The sequence below is a fragment of the Homo sapiens genome, chromosome 10, assembly GCF_000001405.40.
Source record: "Homo sapiens chromosome 10, GRCh38.p14 Primary Assembly".
Lineage (NCBI taxonomy): Eukaryota > Metazoa > Chordata > Mammalia > Primates > Hominidae > Homo > Homo sapiens.
The window spans coordinates 21,164,506-21,189,209 of NC_000010.11; the positions used below are offsets into that span (position 1 = coordinate 21,164,506).

The 24,704-nt window shown below is 43.6% G+C and overlaps 1 protein-coding gene and 1 long non-coding RNA gene across 12 annotated transcripts in view, besides 2 other annotated features; one reads left to right on the plus strand and one right to left on the minus strand.

Moving 5' to 3' along the window:
- NEBL (nebulette) overlaps window positions 1–24,704 on the minus strand; it is a 513,078-nt gene that overhangs the window by 384,533 nt on the left and 103,841 nt on the right. For 2 of the 10 annotated variants that reach the window (NM_213569.2, XM_047424444.1), the window contains exons 1-2: window positions 9,260–9,682; window positions 7,878–7,972 (exon numbers count right to left, since the gene is read on the minus strand). In NM_213569.2, the coding sequence (NP_998734.1) occupies window positions 7,878–7,972; window positions 9,260–9,328 (164 nt within the window). In that variant the 5' untranslated portion in view covers window positions 9,329–9,682. Of the gene's footprint in view, window positions 1–7,877; window positions 7,973–8,184; window positions 8,475–9,158; window positions 9,683–10,334; window positions 10,427–24,704 lie in introns of those variants that run through there. The other 8 variants (NM_001173484.2, NM_001377322.1, NM_001377326.1 and 5 more) reach the window with 6 other exon arrangements.
- Window positions 9,064–9,954: an enhancer, noted in NCBI's record as "H3K27ac-H3K4me1 hESC enhancer chr10:21462498-21463388 (GRCh37/hg19 assembly coordinates)". NCBI's record gives its function as "activates a minimal SCP1, AML or CMV promoter by ChIP-STARR-seq in naive H9 embryonic stem cells {active_cell/tissue: H9 hESC(naive)}" and the evidence as "EXISTENCE:reporter gene assay evidence [ECO:0000049][PMID:30033119]".
- On the plus strand, window positions 9,485–10,418 carry NEBL-AS1 (NEBL antisense RNA 1). Of its 2 annotated transcripts, none has more exons than NR_046283.1 (2): window positions 9,485–9,602; window positions 9,977–10,418. It is a non-coding gene; the product is annotated as an NEBL antisense RNA 1 (long non-coding RNA). The 2 variants fall into 2 exon arrangements; NR_046284.1 differs by lacking the exon at window positions 9,485–9,602 and adding an exon at window positions 9,797–9,868.
- Window positions 20,515–20,809: a silencer, noted in NCBI's record as "tiled region #12641; HepG2 Repressive non-DNase unmatched - State 10:DNaseD". NCBI's record gives its function as "represses a minimal TATA promoter and a strong SV40 promoter by Sharpr-MPRA in HepG2 cells {active_cell/tissue: HepG2}" and the evidence as "EXISTENCE:reporter gene assay evidence [ECO:0000049][PMID:27701403]".

The window sequence follows — 24,704 nt, forward strand, 5'->3', positions numbered from 1 at the left end:
CATTTCACCATGATTGAGGAGAGATCTGCTGAGCTTCATCTCAAAATCTTTTCTAATCTGACATCATTCCATAATAAATACATCATCATAAACAGGCAGAACTTACACATCAAAGGCACCTTTCAGAAACATTGCAAATGGGACAGAGAACCCAGAGTGTGGTTTGTAAATATGATTCCCTACAATGACTTAAAAGATACCAAAATGCATTAGATGTTGCCAACGGTCCAATACGGTGACTGAGAACCAGATCATTTTGTATATACACTGGAACCTTTTTATTGGCTCAAAGTATCTCCTTCCTTTGTTTTCAATCATCCAATTATAACCCAAAAAGAAAAAAGAAAACTGTCATCCTGTCACGTCAGATACTGTGTCAAGGGGCAAAGGTTTAATTTTTTCCATGAGGTATGTAACTAAAAAGTCAGGCAGGGCACATTGCAGTGGATGCTAACTAGAACTCTAACATGCCACAATATCCTTCCATAGAAACAGTCACTTTTAACAATGTGACCTTTTCTCTTGTCTTTAAGGGAGAAATAGGAGACAACAATTTTCCATTCACTATTATAAGTAAAAGAGTGGACTGACATTTGGGTCCTGAAGTGTTATTTGATGGGCTCAAGCTTACAAACATTTCCCCATTTAATCTCTATAAAGTCCCTGGTAGGTGGGAATTATTTTCCCATTGTACAGATTACAATTTAACCCAGAAGGAAATAAATGAGCATTCATAAGAAATGTTTTTAGAAAGATGTCACATTTTGAAACCAGACCTCTAAGTAGTGAAAGTAAATTCCCACTACGTTCATTACAGATCAGAAAACGTGAGACTATCCCAACAGCAGGATACTTTATTATCCCTTGGAATTCAGGCTTAATGAACCCTAGTCACCAGTCCCCACAGATCAGGCTCCTCAAAGCCTCATCCTAATCCAGTTCTTCTGGATCATGCAAGCTCTGTCTGCCTTCCCAAAAGAAACTAGCCTGGGCCTTATCCTAAACTAGGGGCTAAGAGCAGAGGCTACACACAGTCCTCGCAGTCCCTGAGGTGACTAATATTATCAAGTACCTTCTAAATGCCAGGCTCATCTACGGCCATACCACCCTGGACGTGCCCAATCTCGTCTACGTGCCAGGCTTGGGGGCATATGCAGATACATGGGACAGATCCCTTGGAGGATACAGACAGATAAGCTCATGGTTCCTGCACAGGGTGGTGTGGGCTCTTACTGCTGAGCTGAGACCTATGTGGTGACTGTGTTGGACTGAACCCCAGGGAAAGGTGTGGGGTCGGGTGTGATGGGCACAAACAGAAAAGTGGCTGTTATGATTCACAAACTTATTGCATGTCATTGTACGTTACAGGTAACTTTCAGTGCTCTCTGATGTATGGAGCATTAACAATATGGAACTAAACTAGTGTTTCTCATATCTTTCAATCACCACTTCCAATAAAAAATATTTTCTATTGGGAGGCCGATGTGGGAGGATCACGAGGTCAGGAGATCGAGAACATCCTGGCTAACATGGTGAAACCCCGTCTCTACTAAAAATACAAAAAATTAGCCGGGCCTGGTGGCGGGCGCCTGAAGTCCCAGCTACTCCGGAGGCTGAGGCAGGAGAATGGCGTCAATCCGGGAGGCGGAGCTTGCAGTGAGCCGAGATCAAGCCACTGCACTCCAGCCTGGGCGACAGAGCGAGACTGTGTCTCAAAAAAAAAAAAAAAAAAAAAAAAAAGAAAAGAAAAAAAAATTTTCTACATCATGATCCAGTACACATATGTACCCGTATCACTGAAAAAAAAGTTTGCCGAAAGAATTCTCTTTTTAGTACTTAAATGAATTCTGATGTTTTCTCTTCTCATTCTCTTTTCTTCCTTCTTTCAATTCTGGTTACAACTCTCTAATGGGTAGCAGCCCATAGTGCGAAAAACTTCGGTATAAACCTTTTAATAGGTGTGAGTGAGTTCTTATCATTTATTGATGTACTTCCTCTTCTCTCTTCCCCACTCTTTCTTCACCCCTCAAAAAAGTACCAATGAGGAAAGACGGACACTACTGTTTCCTGGAGGTCTGCCATGTGCCAGACACCAGGCTACGGCCTATCCTAGTGTTGTTTTGTTACTTCTCATACAGCCCTGTGGGTTTAGTATTACTGTGCCCATTTGACAGATGGAGAAACTGATGCTTGGCAATCGAGAGACTTGCTCAGTAGGCCAGGATGGAGCTAGGATTCAACTCCAGCTCCATCTAGCTCCAAAACTCCAATTAGAACATGTTGTACTTTGTGACACATTGTTTTGTAATCAAAGCTAACTTCATAGCAGGAATTTCATCAATCTCCTTGAGATAACTCAAGTCCTTGGAGTGTTCTAGAACCAAATTCAGGAGGCCCAACTACAGATAAGGAAAATAGATGGTGGGAATACTCTCAGGTTTCAATTTAATTTCCTTCTGTGTCCTCTGATTACCCTTAGGAAAGGCACTAATGAGGAGTGACCAGCAGCGAAATGGTACGTGAGAGGCAGCGGAGCACTGGCCTCGATAATCACACTCAACAGGGGCCGGCAGAACTGTGCTGACCGTTCTGGGTGACTCGTCACGAGATGCACCCAGCCCAGCCTCTTGCAGGCGGTAGAAAGTCAATAAATATTCACGAGAGGGAATGTGAACACAGGCAGACCGAAAGTAAACACAACACTCAGCGCCTGCTGTTTTATTTTTTAAAGTCTTCGGAAACCATGTTAAGTGAAACTCTTTGATGAGAGGGAATCTTACTTGGATCACTAAAGATACTTCACTGGATACTTCTGTTCTTTTAGCCCCATAATTAAAGATACATTTGACTAAGATACAAGGTATAGTAAATGTAGGCAGGTCAGAGGAAATGTTCAGCCCAAAAATATGTCTGTGAATAATGTTCAGCCGAAATAATGTTCTGGGGAAATTATTGGCAAGGTCATGTTAAACTATTGCGTCGTTCCTTGGTGGCACCCCAGACCTAATATAACTTGACATTTGGTGAGAACACATTAGCTGGTCAGTCTTGGCAATGCTACTTCTAAGTGGTAATACCTCTCAAGAAATTTTAAGAACCGACGTATATTTTAAAAAGACATAGTAAATGCAATTTTGACTTATACACACAACAAATTAAATAATTTATTTGACAAATGGTCTTAGGGTTTATACTCATTGTGTGGCTTGCTGGGTAGCAAAATGTTTATAGTTTAGCTTGGCATATAAATTCACATAGAAATATTAGCTATGTTTTTTGTCTAATCATCAAGTGTTATTTTCTCGGCACCTCTTAGTGATAACAATTTTGCCTAGTCCTCATTTCTTTGCAAGTTCCATGGTGAAAAAAATCCCAAATGTGCTAAAGAATCCATTGCCTGCTTATGAAACATAAAAGCTTATGAAAACATGGCACGCACTCAAGTACACCAGTTTGTTTTTAAATATTTTAATAGTGTGCACTGCTGCGTTAGGAGCAAAATGGGTATTACGCCCAATCTTACATCTAGTGTGTACTATACTTTGATCGTTCTATCAAAAGATCAAAATTTAAATATCATGTAAATTATATTTTATACATGTTCTCCTTTGCATGAAATCAAACAGAATACTTGTTTCTTCTCTAAACACATGAGAATATAAACAAGCAACATATTTAAACTGAAGAAGCACTCACTACTTCATTCCATTAAAGAATGCCCTCAGGTAGCGATTAAAATGAGAAATCTTTATGTTTTCTTACAATAATTCCAAATGTCTATGCTCATGGTTTCCAATTCTTAAGCATATTCTTAATATTTATTTTAAAGGTTCTTCATTTAATTATGGATGTTTTTTCATAAGAAATGCTACTTAAGCCCTTTTCTTGAAAACTGTGAGAGATTCTGTAAATCAGTAGAAATAATAGCAGAACTTGAATAACTGATATTGAATCTCTAATAGCTAAGAAAAGTTGTCATTTTCATAACAGCTAAATGTAAAGTATGAGCGCTGATTGGATCCTGGCTTTTAAAAAAAACTGTAAAGAACATTCTTAGGACAATGGGGGAAATGTAAAATTAGACAGGATATAAGATGTTATAATAATGCATTTGTTAATTTTCTTAAGTGTAATAAAAGCTCTATGATTCTTGAAGAAAATGTCCTTAGTCTTAGTGCATGCATGACGTAGTTTCTAGGGATGAAATGTCACGATGTATGAAACCAACTTGATGTATGAAATGGAAAAATGGCTCAACAGTGGCCGGGCGCGGTGGCTCATGCCTGTAATCTCAGCACTTTGGGAGGCTGAGGCGGGTGGATCACAAGGTCAGGAGATCGAGACCATCCTAGCTAACATGGTGAAACCCTATCTCTACTAAAAAATACAAAAAATTAGCCGGGCTTGGTGGCGGGCGCCCCTAGTCCCAGCTACTCGGGAGGCTGAGGCAGCAGAATGGCATGAACCCAGGAGGCAGAGCTTGCAGTGAACTGAAATTGAGCCACTGCACTCCAGCCTGCGCTACAGAGTGAGACTCCGTCTACAAAAAAAAAAAAAAAAAAATATATATATATATATATATATATATATATATATATATATTTGGACATATAATTAGATCAAAATATGAAGCAGCAAACATGGCAAAATGTTAATAATAGCTGAATGTCGGTGGAGGGGATAGAGATGTTCCTTGTATTATTCTTTTACTTTTTTTTCATGTATGAAAATTTTCACAATAAAAAGTGACAGGGGAAGACGAAGAGTTGTTTTCATTTAAGCATGTATATACATTGACTCCTGAACCAAACCAGGTACAGATAAAATATTGCATTACATGGAAAGCAAATGTTTCATTTTCTGGTAGCAGTATACATAAGAAAATCAATTTTCTACCATTGACCCGGAGAAATTATGGCGGCCCTCTGGCCACAACCACAGGGAGCAGCTGATTGACATGCACCACGTGAATTAGAGCCAATGAGTCAGGATCCCCAGAGGGCAATCCATACTGCCCAGCCAGTTTACATGGCAACACGTATCCTTTTCAGACTACAGACTGACAGCAGGGACCTTTGAGCCCAGAACCCTCTTAGCAGACAGAATCCAAAACTTTGCCAGGCTCCATTTTCTAGAGTTAGCATATGACATGAACCTAAAGCTAAATTTTAAATATCAGCTGTCTACACATTCATTCACTAAGGATGAATTCCTATTTCCCCCTATTTATCTGCTCAATCAAGTAGACTTCCAGGTTCAAAATGAGGCAAAAATCCTAGGGTGCTACCCTCAGAATTCAACTTAAAACTAAAAATAATGTACTGGAATCATATGAGAAATTTTAGAGAGAAAAATCTATAAACATTCTATACAGGTATGTTGAGAGTATTAAAAATAAGGTTAAGACCTATGAAACAAAACAACGGGATGTTTCTTTTTCATAAGTAGAATCATTTCCTTTTGGGGCCCACATCTCAACGTTTCTGGGCACTCATCACTATCAAGTCAAAGTGCAAAATAGCTCTTCCCAACTCATCCAGAATCTCATAAACTTTTTAAATCAGATTGAACTCGAACTAAGCAATAAGCACTAAATAATTTTCAAGTATCCCAATGCAGTCAATGACTCTACTTCAGTAGAACCTTTTTCTGTCCTTTTATTTTTGATCATTTCTTTTTCTCCCTTATCCAATTCTCTCTCATTGTTGTAATTGCTATTCTCTCCCCATTTTCTTTCTGTCTCTTTCCTCCTTCCCTCCCAATCCCTTCAGGCCTACCAGGGCCACCCAAAGGCATTGTTATCACTGGGGTTAAATTCCTGGCCCTGCCCTGTAAAGAATCCTGAATCCTGATGTGGTCCATAAAGCCTGATGGAAACAGGCTGCCCACTGAAACAGTTACAGGAAGAATGGTTCACTTTCCTTTAACCAAAGAACAATTATCCCGTTTATGGGTGCTTGGGGCCCTTTCCCTTCTCCTTACGCCTGCCTTTGATCTTTAACCAGTCATTTATGGCTCTCTGGAAGGGAAGCAGGAAATCATGATACTGAAACCTCATTTTTGCTTCACGCTATTCCAATAGGAAGCACGGTGTAGGAGGATCGAAGACATCAGAAAGTTTGGGGAATATCTGTGGACTTCCCCTCTCCAAGAAAGTCCTGAATTCTGTTCAATGCCCCCATTTTCTGATTTCTTGAAAAGTTTCTGGTCTACCTGTAAGCACTAAGGAGTAAGGAAAAACACATATTAAACAGTCTTCACCAGATAAAATTTTTTTTAAGTTATTTGCCAGAGAGGTATGAGTGATTCCATTTGCTTACCAAAAATATACTGTCTATGATAACATACTGTCAGTATGTAATGAAGCATGAATTAACCAAGGGCCCTCCATCTCTAGGAGACCTGAATGATGAACCTACTTCAAAAACTGTAGGGAGGATGAATCTCTGGCAACATTCCAGCCAAAAGGCCAGGGGTCCAAAGGCCCCTTTGCTGCCTCCAGACTATGCCAACCACACAGGGGAACTGGTGAGAAAACTCAAACATCAGGCCAGGTGCGGTGGCTCACGCCGGTAATTCCAGCACCTTGGGAGGCCGAGCGGGGCAGATCACCTGAGGTCCAGAGTTCGAGGCCAGCCTGACCAACATGGAGAAACCCCGTCTCTACTAAAAATACAAAATTAACTGAGCATGGTGGCGCATGCTTGTAATCCCAACTACTCGGGAGGCTGAGGCAGAAGAATCGCTTGAACCTGGGAGGTGGTGGTTGCAGTGAGCCAAGATCATGCCATTGCACTACAGCCTGGGCAACAGGAGCAAACTTCTGTCTCAAAAAAAAAAAAAAGAAAAAAAAAAAAGAAAGAAAGGAAAAGAAAGAGAAAACTTAACCATCAGGGCCAAGAGCTTACAGTTGAAAGCAGTCTGGGGTAGGGGGATGTTCACAGGAGTGGAGAAACATATGCCCCTGGGCAGCAAGGTAGACATTTGGAAACACTAGCCAAATCAAACCACCAGTAGCCTCCAGGAGTGATCTGAGCCCCCTCCTGAGCCTGATCCTCTCAAGGCCGCAATTTCATTACCCGCCACATGGGGGTAATAATAGTGTCCCCTAACTCGTAGGGTCGTTGTAAAGATTAAATGATCAGTATGCATAAAGTGCTTAGAACAGAGCTTGACACACGGTGAGCGCGATATAAATGCTAGCTAATTGCTATTCTAGGCTAGCAGCATGCCTACACAAAAGCCTTCCAAAGAAGGCTTACCTTTTTTAATCCCCACCTACTACAGCACTAACCAGTCGGAAGTACCCGGTCTACTTCAGTCGGTCTACTACAAACGACCTACTACTAACCAGCCAGGAATACCCATGTCTTTGGTTCCATTCTCCAAACCATTCTTTGATTTCCTGTTTAAGCCCAGAATCTCTGCAGTGGTCTCAGCTAAGACCAAATGAGCAAGACTCCTTTCCATAGCAACTAGGTTCAGGTATGAAATTGCAGTATGGCAACATCCTATGATTAAAATGGAAATTGACACAGGATTAAAATGGAAATCTACCTGACATGCACTTCAGAGCCCACACGTTCTCAGTGGGGAAGTTCAGCAGCTTCTAATAAGTGTCCCTAAGGCTGTAACACTGCGAACCTCAAAAACTAACCTGATTGAAGATGCATAGACGTTACCCAACACATTAGAAAGGTATAAAAAGCAGTGATCGTCAACAAAGTACATGGCCCCAGAGTCTGTGATATAAACAGGTAACTGGCCCCTGCCACACCTGGGTGACACAGTGAGTCAGTTCTTCAAAACAGGCAGGTCCACTGGCTCTCAAGCTCTGAGGCTGTGCCACACCTGGACAGCGTGTTGACAATACTTACGCATTACAATAGGGCTTCTTTTCATAGCCTTTGTAGTTGTTCATGTTGAGTGCCATCTTGCAGACCTCACAATGGAAACATCCTTTATGCCAATACTGGAAAAAAAAAAAAAACATTTAAAAATACAGTACAATGCCAGTTCTCACCAGGATGGGCACAGAAGGAAGGCTTTTTAGTGCATCACAGTCCCTGTAGCTGAAAATATTACAACAAAAAGAGTGTAGGGAACTGGGGATGTGTTTACCTACTTTCAGCTAAGTAAATAAAGCAGGCAGCTCTGAAAATGGAGTCTTAAAGGAAAACCCACCGCAATACACAGACGCACCATGGACGAACTGTCAAGGTTCTGTCGAAACAGCACTTCTTTGAGCAGCCAGAAACGATTTCTGAGCTCGGTTAATGAAGAAACGGGGCCCAGAGAGTGGCTTCGAAACCAAAAGGAATCCAGTTCAAAGTGTCTAAATGCAGGGTTTGTAGGATCTCAATAAATATGTGTTCACCCGAAGTCAGGCAAGCTGAGGGGGCTGCACGAGAGCTATGTAAGTACCCCTACACCTGACCAGCTTCCACTAAAATGCTGGACCTCGGACTCTGCCCGGGATGACTGTCAGGATGGCAGCTTGTTCTAAGGAAGCATTTGTATCTTCAGACGCAAATTTCCCCAGAACGCCCCTGGCTGGTTTCAACTGTCAGTCACTCCGGATCGCTCCTGGGTGTCTCTCTCCCGGGCTGTTCATCTCCGTCCCTGCCCGGGAAGGGCAGGGGGCAGGGCTGGAGGGGCCCGGCTACAGAACTACTTCCCCTGGAATTCCCCACCCGGTGGATTAGACACCCGTGGGTCCGGCTTGCCGCGCTGAGCCGGAGCTCTCCAGCAGGGATTATTCTTAGCAATGCGGCAGCGGCCGCCCCATGACATATTAATTACTATTTGCCTCTCCCCCTCGCCGCGGTCACAGGAGGCGCTGCGGGTGGGCGGTGAGGTGGGATCGCGGGCGGATCTGTGGGGCGGGGGGCGGGGGTATTGTGGAACACGAGTGGAGGTGGAGGGGGCGCGGCTCGCCGAAGTGCCCCCCTGGGTGCCCAGCCTGGTCCCTCCGGGGTCCGGGGCTGCGCACCGCCGTGCGCCCTCCGCAGAGGCTCTGCCGATGTCGCACCGCCCCGCACCGCGACAAAAGCCCTTCCCGGTTCCAACATCACAATCGCCAAGCGTGGTCTCTGACACTCCCGCTGGCGTCTTCGTTCGCGCGCCCTCCCCCCGTGCCAAGGCACACGCACACGCACCGACCCACTCATTGCTTTCCATCCCAGGTGCCAAAACTTCTCGAAGCAGGTGCAGCCCCTCGCCCGGCAGGTCCAGGCTGGCCCGGCGCCCCCTCGCTCACCTTATCCAGGCAGTTGACTTTCTCGGTGGGATACACGACTTTTCCGCAACGGGCGCACTGGGGGTTCATGATCGCGGTTCCCGGGGGCGGCGGCGGCGGCGGCTGCTGGCTCCCAGGAGCCGCTGTGACATCCCCCGGCGAGCCCCGCACCGCCTCCTGGCAGGCGGGAGGGCTGCGGGCGGCGGGCGCCGGGTAGGGAGTCGGCGCCGGGCCACGGGTGAGTGCACGGGGAGGGCGACGGGGCCTGGCGCCTGGGGCCGGCCGCGCTCTCGGGCTCGCAGGCGCTGGGTCTCGGCTCCGGCTCCGGCTCCGCGCCGCTGGCTCTGCGTCGCTCGCACTCCAGGTACGGGTGACTCACACAGTCACTCGCGCCCGCCCCTCGCGCTCACTCGCTCCCCCGCCTCGCCGCCGCCGCCGCGCAGGCCAAACCCACCGGCGCGCCCGGACCGAAGTGGCAGGGAACGTGCACGTCGGGCACCCTGGGAGGGAGGGCGCAGCGGGGGAGGGGGCGGGCAGAGACCCGGAAAGCTCCGCAGACCGCCGTGGGTGCGACTGTGCGGCCTGGGGAGTGAGCCTCGCGCCACCGCCGCTGCAGGCCGGGGAGCCCAGGTGGGCGGCGGCTGGGGAGGGAGGGATCCAGGCGGGGGAGGTGACAAACACCGGTGGGGAGAGTGCTCAAACCCGCGTACTCCCTTCCCTCCCTCTTCTCTTCCCCAGCCGGGGGCACCCTCATCCCAGGCTGACTGACGTCCCTGGCACCCAAATGTCGCGGGGAGTGCGGGGCCAGGGTGCGCCCTCCCTCCTCCTCCAGCCAGTGAAACCCGGGACAGCGGCACCCAGCCCCAGGGCGGAGGCCGTCTCTGCTGCGCGCAGCGACGCACCCAGGCCCAAGGGCCGGGAGATCCGCGGGGAACCCGGAGACCTGCGTCCCAGAGGGGCCGAGGGTTGCACCGCGCCCGCTCCCACGGGCCTCTTCCGAGAGGACGCTTCTCCCTCGTGTCCGCGGGAAGTCCTCGGATCCTGGATGAGAAAGAGCCTTCTCTCACCGGCTCCCAGACCCCGCGCTTTTTAATACCTGTCCTTGCAGAGCGACTGGTCATTTTAGGCCCGAGTCGAGCCTCTCTTGATTAATAAATGAATATGGCTCGTTTTGTTTTAAGTGTGCGTGGATGTATACGTTGTATTGTTTTGCAATTCAACACCGCAAAGATCTGGGAAAAGTTCTTCACCTGCATTAAGGAAAGCAATTACAAACTCGTAGTCCAAACCAGAAGAGCCAGAAAATCAAGTAGAAGGCTCAGGGTAGGATGAAACCAAAGGGAACAGGAATCGTTTCTTCCTTTTAATAAGATGTCAGGTTATTGGACTCACTTGATGAGAGGCAGCAAAATGAATCGAACACAGCCTGGGTTCAAAGCCTGACCCCGCCATCTAATGATGTGACCTTCTGCAAATTCTTAGTCGCTCTATGCCTCAATTCTTTAATCTACAAAATGGGAATAAGGACGCAGCTACCGAACAGCTTCTACTCTCCTGCTGTGAGGATTAAATGAGTCAGCAGTTCCGAACTGCTTCAATCGGCCTGGCTCAAGGGAAGCTCCACGGAAGAGTCAGCTAGGATTATTATAAATTGGTTATAACAAAGAAGCGAACACATTCCGTTGCTAGCGCACAGATTAAGACTCAATAATGCCACATACCAACTGCCACTGCTCTGACAAATATTTCTGTCATTTCAAAAAAATATCATGGCTGCAGCTTTTCATGACAAAAGAAAACCATTGGTTTCTGGGCCTCTTAAACAGCTGCACTGATGGACATATTCATAATAATGCTGTACTGTTTGACTTTCCAGAAGATGTAACTTCTTTAAAGGATTCACCAAATTCAACAGCCCCTGAGCCACTCACTCACTGCCATGTTCACAAGTCCACCTCAAAAGCAAATAAAATGAGAATTTGCTGTCAGAGAGGATCAGCTGTCTTTTAAAAATATTTCAGAGCTCATTAGAAATGTATGACGAGGGGAAAAAAAGTATGTGATCGCCTGAAAGGCAGTAGTTTTTTTTTAAACATTTACATTTTCATAACTGTAGATCATGAAATATAGTTTGAATATCTTATTCTCTTTTTCAAATTGTAAGCACAAAATTCAGAGCAAGAATGTTGGTGATATGTGACATTATAGCTGATTACATCTAACCTTTGAACTTTAAGTTATGTTTAATCTTTTTTTTTTTTTCTGAGACAGGGTCTAACTCTGTCACCCAGGCTGGAGTGCTGTGGCACAGTCATGACTCACTGCCTCAGTGAGTGGCAGCCTCGACCTCCCAGGCTCAGGTGATCCTCCCGTCTCAGTCTCCTGAGTACCTGCGACCACAGGCATATGCCACTATGCCCTGCTAATTTTTGTATTTTTTGTAGAGATGGGATCTTGCGGTGTTGCCCATGCTGGTCTCAAACTCCTGGGCTCAAGCGATCCTCCCACCTCAGCCTCCCAAAGTGCTAGGATTACAGGCATGTGGCACCACACCCAGATACATTTTATAATTTCTTACCAAACCAGCAATGATCACAGTGCCTGACATACAGTATGAATGAAATGAACAAATACATTAAAACCATATTCATGTGATATTTTATTCTCTGAAGAAGCGATACATGCTCAGAGTTACATTTTTCTCTCATTTTTTTCTCATTTTCTACATCAAACCAGCTTCTAAGTTTCTTAATGCCATTTTACTGATGTAAGAAGAATTTTAATACCATCTGTCTTAAAAGGACTCCTTTATTTTCAAATTCAAAGTACTATAAACAAAGAATTGGCAGAAACCTGTCCTCTAGCCAGTCTTCTCTCTTCAATAATGATTGAATTGTCTACTGGGGAGAACTTTTGCCCTTCCATGTCTTTTTCACTCGACTGGTTAAGAAATTGTTCCTTGTGTTAACTCTACCCCAATATCTCTACTTTAATTTCAATCCTTTTCCGCTGACAGGGACACTCACAGATATACAAAACAATTGACCTTCATCACTATCCTAAAAACACTTCTGTATTTATAAAGTTGAATTTTTTTTAGCTAAAATCCCCAAATCTCCTTACTTTTTCCTCCTATTTATGAAAGCCCTATTTATGCAAAATCAATTATAATCACCTTTATTATTCAGGCTACATAAATTGAACTCCAAATAAAAGTTTTAAAGCATAACTAATATCACAAAAGGCCAAACAATGGCTTTGACTAATACCAGTTTGGATGCAGAGTGTGATGGATAGTATGATTTGTTCACAATTTTTTTTTCCTTCTATTCTGGCACACTTCCTATAGGCAGTGTGCCTTTCCCCACTGAGCTTGGCCGTGTGACTTCCTTCGGCCAATGGAATGTGAGTGGACATGACATATGTCGTATCTGAGCAGAAGCTTCAAATGCGCTTGCATAGTTTGCCCCTGTTCTCCCACCTTTTGGGCTTTGGCCCTTGGCCTTGAAAAGATCATACTGCAGGGAGGTGACTGTTTCTTTGACTTTTGTTCAAGAATGAGACGGGCTGAATCATGCCCAACAGAGCCACAGCAAGCCCACAGCCTTCACATGACGGGAGTAAGAAATAATTGTTATAAGTCACTGAGATTTGGGGGATTGTTTTGTTACTGCAGCAAAAGCTCACTAGTATGTCAATGATGAGACTTCAAGAGAAATGTTTTCCACTTCATCAACAACAAGAAACTAATGAATTTACATAAAAGATTCAGTATACAGTCTTTATTTTTCCTTTTTTTTTTTTGAGATGGAGTCTCGCTCTGTCCCCCAGGCTGGAGTACAGTGGCATGATCTCAGCTCACTGCAAGCTCTGCCTCCCGGGTTCACTCCATTCTCCTGCCTCAGCCTCCCGAGTAGCTGGGACTACAGGTGCCCACCACCACGCCCGGCTAATTTTTGTATTTTTAGTAGAGATGGGGTTTCACTGCGTTAGCCAGGATGGTCTCGATCTCCTGACCTCATGATCTGCCAGTCTCGGCCTCCCAAAGTGCTGGGATTACAGGCGTGAGCCACCGTGCCCAGCCTACAGTCTTTATTTTTCTAAAAGGTGAGCCGTTAGAAGTGTAGTGGCCAATAAAGTATAGAGCTCTTATTATTAATTATTTCATCATCTCATTTTATACAGCTCAACTGCATGTTTTCCATTTGTCAGGTATTGTATAAAATTGTGTATGTTGTTCCTAGCTGACTCAAATTCACCGTGGAGGAAAGTTTTCGCAACCAACAACTTTGGTGGCAAAAGGAAAGGAAAAAGGTCAATTTTAGCTCACAGTTTCATTTGATATCCACATATGAGCTTTAACCTAATGAAGCATTTCTCCAAAGATCTTAAGCACTGTAGAAAAATTATCTCATTTGCCATTATAATATTTCTGCAAGTCAATGAGAAATGTAAAATACAAACATTAGGGGAAATTCAAGATTCAGAAGCTATTACAGAAACAATTACCTTCCTTCATCCATTCAACATATAGTTATTGGTAGGCAGGATGTTAGGCACCAGGAAATGCATTGGGGAATAAGACATGATCTCTGCTTATAATAAAATCTAGTGGGACTGATAAGTAAGCAAAGAATTATAATACAATATGATAAATGCTCTAAAATAAAACTCTACTCTAGATACCATGGAAGAACAGAGGAGAAATTTCTAATTCACACCGGGAAGTCAGGAAAAGACAGCTAGAAGAAGTCGTCATTACTACACATCTCACCAGGAGTTGGAGCTACCATATTTCCTCTCCCACAGAAAATATAAGACCCCCTAAAGTGAAGGGTTTGGGTGTTTACTATTTTTCCTGTTTTGGGGATTATTCTGCTTTGGCATACATGCTGAAAATTTAATTACATCACTTCAATGCCCCAACATAGCACAGCACAGTGACAAACTTCAAATAATGATGAAACATTCCTTGGTAGATGACATATCAAAATAAGTCCCAAACTTCCAATTTATCAAAAGCATCTGTAGATATCAACTCATAATTGCAAGTGTGAGCTAAAACCTTTCTAGACTCGGAAAGAGGAAAAAAGAAAGGTAGGAGGACAAGCAACCCTTGTTTTGCCCCTTCTGGGATTGAGTCTCTTGGGATAAAGGACAAGACAGACCCTTTGTGGCAGGCAAAATAATCCACTCCCTAAAATGTCCACATTTTGATGCCCAGAACTGGTGAATATATTGCTTTACACAGGAAAAGGGACTTTGCAGATGTGATTAAGTTAAGAATGTTGAGACGAAGAGATTATCCCAGATTATCCAGGAGGATCCAGTGTAATCACAAGGGGCCTCCTAATGAAACTGTCCCTATAAACTCTATAAAATTAATCAGGGAAGAAGGGAGGGGGAGAAACAAAAATAAACCAAGCTTATAGCTCATGCAGCCTTAATCACAGGGTCAGCCTGCTCTCTGACCTGCTGCCTCATCGTTATTTGGGGCCTATTGCTTCAGAATCACATAGACCCTGTTACAAGATTATAGTTCCCCTTAACTACTCCATAGATAACAACTTGGACATTATGAGACATCAGTTTTCCCTTTGAGATATTCTTGCAGGTCCTGCATACCACTGAGGCCAGCTGCTCTGAAGGGCCCCACAAGAAGCTGACTCACCAAAGAATGCAGCGTCCATGTCCTGATCATTTCATCCCCCTTACCCCTACCAATCAATGACCCCCCGCTCCAGCCCCTCACGCTCCATCATCCCCTTAAGAACTCCAGCCCAAAACTCCTTGAGGAGATAGATTTGAGGATCTCCTCCCACCTCCTCACTCGGTGCTCTGCGATCATTAAAGTTTCTCTGCTGCAAACCCTACTGTTTCAGTGTATTGGACCATTACTGTGCAGTGAGGCATTTGCATCTGTTGGTCCTATAACACTAAGAGGGAGGCAAGAAAATCAGAGTCAGGGAAAGAGATGTGACAAAAAAAAAAAAGCAGAGATCAGAGAAAGAGATTTGAAGATGCTACACTGCTGGCCTTGAAGACGGAGGAAGGGGAAGGGACCACAAGACAAGGAATGTGGGTAGCATCTAGAAACTAGAAATGGCAAGGAGGCTGGGAGGGATGGCTCACACCTGTAATTGCAGCACTTTGGGAGGCCAAGGCAGGCAGATCACTTAAGGTCAGGAGTTGAGACCAGCCTGGCCAACATGATGAAACCCCATCTTTACTAAAAATACAAAAATTAGCTGGGTGTGGTGGTATGCACTTGTAATCCTAGATACTCAGGAAGCTGAGGAAGGAGAATTACTTGAACCTGGGAGGTGGAGGTTGCAGTGAGCTGAGATTGTGCCACTGTACTTCAGACTGGGTAACAGAGTGAGACTCGGTCTCAGAAAAAAAAAAAGAAAAAAGAAAAGGCAAGGAAACAGATTATCTCCCCGAGCCTCCTGAAGGAACATGCCCCTCAGAACTGTGAGATACTAAATGTGTGCTTTTAGCCAATTAATTGTGCTGTCACAGCAGCAAAAGGAAACTAATACACCCTCTCTGTGTGAATTCTGATCTCTCTTTAGGGAAATAATGACGTTCTGGGACTTCTAAAATAATCAGTTGGAAAGGGAGATGGTATGATTCCTTCTCGTTGTTGTCCTCCATGAAAGAGACCTTAAAACAAAGTGGGTAAAATTTCAACAAGTGTCATTCTCTTTCTCCGCCCCATCGAAATGAAAGGGCTTATTTTACTTGCAGTCTTCAGATAATTGCCTCACTTCTCCATTTAATTTTGCACAGGTAGACACAAGCATTCTAGGTAGTTTGCAAAGTCAACATATTTCTTTCCAAATTCCCCCTCCTTCTCTATAGAGCAACTCCATTAGTAGCATCCTCATCTTCTGATCCAGAACCCTAAAAATCAACAATAACTCCTTCCTCTCTCCCTAAGCCACCTTGTCCAGCTATCTAATTCTGCCAATTTTATCTCCAAAAAAAGCTCTTGAATCATCCCCACACCCAGACCCAATGCCACTGCCTTAGCTAAGCAATTTCTCATGTCTTCCCTGGTTGGTTTTGTAATGATAAGACTCTCTGAGGTCTTATCATCATAGGAGGCAAGAAAGGGAGGTAGGATTTTACTCTCCTAGACAGGATGTAGAAATGTGGTAGATTAGAAAATCATTACCTGCAGGCCTGGGACCTCTGCACTGTATTTTTTTTAAATAAAAATTAATTCATGTAGGCCAGGCACAGTGGCTCATATCTGTAATCCCAGCATTTTGGGAGGCCAAGGCAGGCAGATCCCTGGAGGTCAGAAGTTCAAGACAAACCTGACCAACATGGCAAAACCCCATCTCTACTAAAAATACAAAAAATTAGCCAGGTATGGTGGCACACACCTGTAATCTCAGCTACTCGGGAGGCTGAGGCAGGAGAATCGCTTGAACCCAGGAGGGAGAGGTTGCTGTAAGCCAAGATCGGGCCATTGCATGTCAACCTTGGCAACAAAAGTGAAACTCTGTCTCAAAAAAAAAAAAAATTATCCAAAGTGAATGTAGCCACGTTCTGCGCACGTATCCCGGAGCCTAAAGTAAAATAATAAGAAAAAATAAACAGAGATGAAAAAAAAAAACCAAAGTGAAGGTAGCGTTTTCTGTAAACTGGTTAAAAAAAACAGAGAGCTATCATATACTGTCGGTAAGAGGGAGACTCATGATCATTTTCCCCATATGCAGGAACCCAGGAAAAACTGAACAACCCACCTTCAAAAAGGAAGAAATCTTTGTAAAACTGGGCCACCAGAGGAAAAAAACAACCCCCTCTGTAATAGGATCAATTCAAGGGTCTTCAGCTGAGCGGCCTGCATTAGCATAACATCTCTGACCTTTCCGGGTGAGCTTCTTGCGACACCACGTGCTGCTTTTCACCCTCATCTGCCAATCATACCTGCTTCTTCATGCACAGGTTTCCTTGCCCACAGAGCGTACTTTCCCACAATTTCCCTCTATAATGTTGGCTGGCCGTGACCACACGTGGGCCCTCCTGCTTCTCTTGGCATCTTTTCATCTTCACCTCCCACAAACAACAGCCTTATTCTTTCTTATTTCCAGTAAGTATTCCAAAGAAAAACATGTTGACTGGCCCAGCTCACTTTTGCACATCTCTGGGTCATGAATCTATGTCTGGGTTGTCCTGCAGCCATGCCTAAGCAGTTCTGGAGGAAGTGAGGAGGTGGACTGGACAGGACCAAATGGGGCACAGGGACCGCCCATCAGCAGACGCATCTGATGGCCTAACCGATCCAGAATATTAAGGGAAACTCAAGAACAAAAATGGCGGAGGGCTAAGACTCATTTTAAAAAATCTGGATATCATTATAAACTAAAATTTAACCACGGACAGGATATGGCTGCTGGCTTTTTTTTTTTTTCCTTTTAAAAATTCATTTTAGGGTTGGGCACGGTGGCTCACACCTGTAATCCCAGCACTTTAGAAAGCTGAGGCCAGAGGATCAAAGAAGGCCAGGAATTTGAGACCAGCCTGGGCAACAAAGCAAGGCCCTGTCTCTACCAAAAAAAATAATAATAACTAACTAGGTGTGGCGGTGTGTGCCTGTAGTCCCAGCTACTCAGGAGGCTACGGAAGGAGGATCGTTTGAATCCAGGAGTTCTAGGCTGCAATGAGGTATTATCGTGCCACTGCACTCCAGCCTGGACAACAGAAACAGACCTTATCTCTAAAAAGAAAAAATATATAATTTTAAGATAAATTAGTAGAAGTGCGTATATTCTTGTCTTTAAGACAAATATTCCCATTTCCAAGAAGTAAAAGTAAATAAAAAGAAGAAAGCCATGATGTCCTCAGAAGAAAGCTCTGAGACTTAGCAACTAGAAAACTGCAAGTTCTGAGGAATAGTCCAAAGATCCACACATGTGTTGTCCAACAGAAATATAATGAGAGCCGCAAATGTGAGCCACATGTGTAATTTTAAATTTTCTGGTAGCTATATTTTAAAAAGTAATAAGAAACAAGTGATGATATTTTAGCAATATATTTTATTTAACCCAATGTATCCAAAATATTATTTCAATATGTGATCAGTATTTTAAAAGTTAATGAGATCATTTACATTGGCTTTCTCATACTAATGCTTCAAAATGCAGTACCCACTTTATATTTATAGCGCCTCTCAAATTGGACTAGCCACATTGCAAGTGCTTCAGAGCCACCGATGGCCCATTGGACAGCATAATATTCATTCACCCTAAGACAGAAAGCAGGTGGCATGAACAGGGCCAGGGTCAAAGAACTGGGCAGGATTTGCATCTGCTTACTCTGAAGGGTTCCAGGCAGGAGTAATCACACTAGGGGCCCCCCAAGCAGGGACACCACCAAATTCTGCTGACATGAAAACCGCTGATACACTCACCTCCCTCTCTGTTCCCAGATCTCTGCCCAGCAGCATGAACGAGAGAGAAATAGCAGAGATGAATGAATGAGTCACCATGAGAGAGAGACAAGAAGAGGGCAGAGAGGGAGGAAGATGGGGAAGGAAGAAATAAAGTGAAGAAGGGAAGGAAAGAAAGGCGTGAGGACAAATAGACAGGGTTGGAAGAGGGGAGAGCCGCAACCACAGGACAAGAGGGCGTCTGGACACCACCAGAAAGAGCACAGATGCAGGGACCTCTCAGCAAACTTAACAGGGCAAACAGAAGAGAAAACAAGGAAAGGGCCCCATGAATTCAGGGAGGCTGCAGGGTTTTCTGAGCCCAGAAGTGAACAAAAACCAAGAGTCTGGAAAAAATCAGCAGGGCAGTCTCAAAGACAAATGCCATCCACATCATTTACAAAAGTAGAATGTTTTGTTTTATATTAACAAATTAATTCAGTTGCTTAGTCTACTTGTGGTCAACTAACTCTGCATTTAAGCTCAGTGCAAATGGCTTAAGCTCCTGGGAATGAGGCCCCACTTGCAGGCCGGACATAAGGAGGACATAGTTGCAGGGTGATATGGTTTGGCTGTGTCGCCACCCAAATCTCATCTTGAATCATAGCTCCCACAATTCCCATGTGTTGTGGGAAGGACCCAGTGAAAGGTAATTGAATCATGGGGGAGGGTCTTTCCCATGCTATTCTCGTGATAGTGAATAAGTCTCACGAGATCTGATGGTTTTATTAAGGGGAGTTTCTTTGCACAAGCTCTCTTCTCTTTTCTGCCGCCATGTGAGACCTGCCTTTCACCTTCCACCTTCCACCATGATTGTGAGGCCTCCCCTGCCACTTGGAACTGTGAAGTCCGTTAAACCTCTTTCTTTTGAAAATTTCCCAGTCTTAGGTATGTCTTCATCAGTGGTGTGAAAACTAATACACAGGCCAAGCTTTTAATGAGTGAAAAAGGGAAGCCTGGCCCAAATGAAAACTAAGCTAGTAGTCCACGTGACTATTACTTTTGTTTTCCTATTTCTCTGATCATTTTCCAGTGAAATATGGGTGCAAGCTTGTCCAAAGGTGTTTTCTTGTCTCAGATAATGCAACAAAAATGTCCTGTGGCAATCAACAACAGAAGTAACCCATGCTAACCCATTGCTGGTTGCTCAGTAAAGGGGCTGAGATTTCACTGAAAGATCTGGAAAGTGGTTTTCCCTTCAGGATAATGACTCATCAAACAAGCATGGAGCCTGCTCTTCTACCAATATTGTACAAAAGTGCACGGTACACAATGTGCTCATCAGCAGTAGACATCAGAACAACCAAGTGTCCTTCAGCATGAGTAATATTAATTAAGTGAAATGAATGAACCTGGCTTCATGGCGATGGATGGAGAAAAGAGCCTTCATTATATGAAAAGGAAACCTGATCCCCTGCTGCTGCTGCTGCTAGGGGAACTTCATCCAATAAAAATAGGTATCAAAGCTCAAATAAAACAAAACAGAGATGTCATGTTGGAACAGAGTGCCTCTTAAAAATTAAAGTGAAAAGGTAAAACATAATGTTAAATAGAATTTTATGACATAAGAAGATGTTTCTGATACTTTGTTAAGCGAAAAAGGTTATAAAAACATTTGTTCGTGATGATATCATTTTTTGTTAATTTTATATAACTGAATGTGTATAGAAAACATTGGCCTGGTGTACCCGAGACTGTTAACAGAGGTGGGATTACATACAGTTCTTTTGTATTTTCCTGTGTTTTCCAAATTTTCTACAATAAACATTATTTTAACAAGTCAACTCTTCTGTAAAGCATGAGGGCTTTGTTTTGAAGATTGCTATCTTACCTTCTCCCATCCTGGCCCCATGTCTCCCCTGATCAGCCTCCATCTGATTCAACAACCATTAAAGATGGTGGCCCTTCCCATAATGGTATGTCTCTTGCTCCATTAGAGAAAAAAGGAACCAAGAGAAAGTAATGACCAGTCCTCAGGACAAATTTTAGGGTGTGGCTTCTGTTTTGTTTTGTTCACATTTTAAAGAATGCAGCCGGCTGGTAACACCCAAGCTACAGCCCTTGTTCTGGCTCCTTACAAGAGTGAAAGGGCATGAAAAGGTCACCGTTCCCAGAGACTGCAGAGACCTGCTGGGCAAAGGTGGATGGGAAATAATCCAGGTCTTTTCCATTTCTGGAACTCCTGGGGGTCAGGGAGTAGAGGAGGATGTGGCTTCTCAAAACTCACCTCTGTATGGAGAGAGGTCACCACCAAGCTAAGCACACAGAATTTCGACTTCTCTTTCGGTTCCATTTTCTTTCCTTTTTTTTTTTTTTTTTTTTTTTTTTTTGACATAGAGTCTAGCTCTGTCGCCCAGGTTGGAGTGCAGTGGCATGATCTCAGCTCACCACAACCCTCCATCTCCCAGGTTCAAGTGATTCTCCTGCCTCAGCCTCCCGAGTAGCTGGGATTACAGGCATGCCACCACACCTGGCTAATTTTTGTATTTTTAGTAGAGACGGGGTTTCGCCATGTTGGCCAGGCTGGTCTCGAACTCCTGACCTCAGTTGATCCACCTCGCCTCAGCCTCCCAAAGTGTTGGGATTACAGGCGTGACCCACTGCGCCCTACCTCTTTCTGCCCCCTTTTCCTCAGACCCTGTGGCTCATGCATTGCCTTCATAAAATTCTAGTAGTTTATGCAATCGATTTTGCTATTTGGGAAATCCTCATGTCTGCCTTTAGTAGACTATTTTGACTGAGAACAGGGATTTCAGTTATATTCCTGCTGCTGCTTGAATTCCAGAGAAGCTCACTAAAGTCATCAGAGATGTGTGCTATTGGGGCTTCCATTCCCAATGAGAAGATTGTTTGGTTTCATTTCCATTTGTACCTCTCTAATTTCCCATCACTTCATAAAACATCAAAGCCAAAAGTGAGTTTTAAATTTTAAGACTTCAGGTGATACTAAGGCACACTTAAAACTTTAAAAAATGTGTTTTTATGCATAGAAAGCTGTTACAGATGTATTAAATGTGAAATCAGAGAGAACATACATAACCATCCCTTTTTAAAAAATTTTTATATATACAAACACACACACACACACACACACACACACACACACACACACACATTCCCCCCCACCATTAAATATATGCGTTGAAGTCCTAACCCCTAAGATAATGGTATTCGGAAGTGGGACCCTAGGGAGGGGACTAGGTCATGAGGGTGTATACGTGTGTATACAGTTGCCTTTGGTATCCACGAAGGATTTGTTCCAGGACTCCCTGCAGACACCAAAATCTGAGATGCTCCAGTCTGTGATATAAAATGGTGTAGTATTTGCATATAACCTACACACATCCTCCTGTATTCTTTAAATCAAGCTTGTCCAACCCATGGCCTACATGTCACATGCAGCCCAAGATGGCTTAGAATGTGGCCCAACACAAATTCATAAACTTTCTTAAAACATTATGAGAATTGTTTGCGACTTTTTTTTTTTTTTTAGTTCATCAGCTATCGTTAGCGTTAGTGTATTTCATGTGAGGCCCAAGACAATTCTTCTTCTTCCATTGTGGCCCAGGGAAGTCAAAGGATTGGACACCCCTGCTTTAAATCATCTCTAGGCAATATATAGGTAATAAAACGTAAAAGCCACGTAAATAGTTGTTATGCTGTATTGATTGGAGAATAATGACAAGGGAAAAAAAAGCCTGTACATGTTCAGTAGGAATGTGCTTTTTTTCTGAATATTTTTCATCTTTGGTTGGTTGAATCTACAGATTCAGAACCCACAGATACAGAGGGCCAACTCTGTATGTGTGTGTGTGTGTGTGTGTGTGTGTGTGTGTGTGTGTGTATACATATGTATATGTAATAAGTTTTTATTCTACCTTTATTTATTCCTAACACTCTTCCTCTTTTACATAGATGCAAGTACGTACCTATGTATATATACATACATACATACACACATGCACACGTCTGAAAGGATGTTTACCAAAGTGCCCTGTGAAGAGGTGCCTTCCACCATGATTATAAGTTTCCTGAGGCCTCCCCAGCTGTGCAGAACTATGAGTCAATTAAATCTCTTCCCTTTATAAATTGCCCAGTCTCAGATATTTCTTCATAACGGCATGAGAATGGACTAATACACTCTCCTAGGTAAGACAGGAAGAGAAGTTTTTTGGGGGAAGCCTGAAATTGGGTATTTCTCTTTCCCCCACGGGGATGACGTTTTGTCGAACCCGATCAGCTAGCATCTGGTAAAATAATTTCTTTTGAGGGCAAATCTTGGCTTTTTGAATTTATTATTATCATTATTATTACTATTATTATTTATTATTATTATTATTATTGTTATTACTAAGGTCAGATCTGTCACCCAGGCCGGAATGCAGTAGCATGATCACGGCTCGCTGTAGCCTCAACCTCCCAGGCTCAAGCGATTCTCCCACCTCAGCCTCCTGAGTAGCTGGGACTACAGGTGTGCACCACCATGCCCTGCTAATGTTTGTATTTTTTGTAGAGAGGGGATTTCACCATGCTGCCCAGGCTAGTCTCAAACTCCTGAGCTCAAGCAATCCTCGCACCTCAGCCTCCCAAAGTGCTGGGATTACAGATGTGAGCCACAGCACCTGGCCACACCTTGTTAAGAAAAACAGAATGCTCTGCTTATTTCACAATGGTTCCTTTTTCCCCTCTGCCTGCCAGAAGTATGATGGGATTTTTCTCCCATCTTCATTGTGAGAGACTGGTAGGGCTCCTGGAAGTAAAACTCGCTAAGTGTGGGGCTGCTGTAAAACTAGGCCCCTCTGGAGTGTTTCTCTCTCGGGCTTGTCTTCACGGAGCCTTCATCAATTACAGTTAAGGTTTTCCTACCCCAATACCAGTTATCATGAAGGTTTCTGTTTATGGGCTTCTGCTCCAGTATGCTGTCACTCTCTTTACCTACATTTCTGTCTCTCTAATTTTGGGGTCAGTGGTTTGCCCTGTGCCCTTAATTCTCTCATGGACCTAAGAAGATTTGCTGATTTAAAATTATTCAGCTTTCTTCTTCTGTGGACGGGAGTAGCAACTTTCAAGCTCCCTACATGCCCAATCAGAAATCGGAAGTTGTCGTGTAACACTTTTTATGGCTTATGTTCTAGTTCCCCGTGACCAGACAGCTCATATGAGATCTGGAACACTAAGAAAATCCAAGTACCTCAGCATCATTTTCACAAGTGTGATATAAAAACAGTTGTCATTTCTAGCTAGACTTGTCACAGTTTGGGAATTTATATTTCCTATACTAATTATAAGTCTGATTTATTTCTTCTCAAAGTTTAACATGTGTTATAAGAGCAAAATGCCTAAGTATAATAGTTGCAAAATGTGAACATGCAAAAATGAAATTTAAACATGCAATTGGATATATAGTAAAATCTTTTTTTTTTTTTTTTTTTGAGACAGAGTCTCGCTGTTTTCGCCCAGGCTGGAGTGCAATGGCACAATTCCAGCTCACTGCAACCTCCGCCTCCCGGGTTCCAGCAATTTTCCTGCCTCAGCCTCCCGGGTACAGGCCCCCACACCACAGCAGGCTAATTTTTGTTTTTTTAGTAGAGATGGGGTTTCATCACGTCGGCCAGGCTGGTCTCGAACTCCTGAGCTCAGGTGATCCACCAACCTCAGCCTCCCAAAGTGCTGGGATTACAGGTGTGAGCTACCACGTTCGGCTGTGAATTCTTAATTATCCACATAAATGAAGAAATAGAGTGGATGAAAATTACTATTGTTTTAGGGGACATACTTTGTCACCTACAATATATATAAGATTTTTCTGAAGATTTTTTAAATAAAAATATTGGAAATATACATACTGTAAAATAACTATAGTAGATTGAATGGTGGCCCCCAAAAAGTATGTCAATGTCCTAATCCCCAACATTTATGGAATGGTACCTTATTCATAAAAAGGGTCTCTGCAGATTTAATTAAGTATCTTGGGGTAAGGAGATCACCCTGTATTATCTGGGTGGGCCCTAAATCAAATGGCAA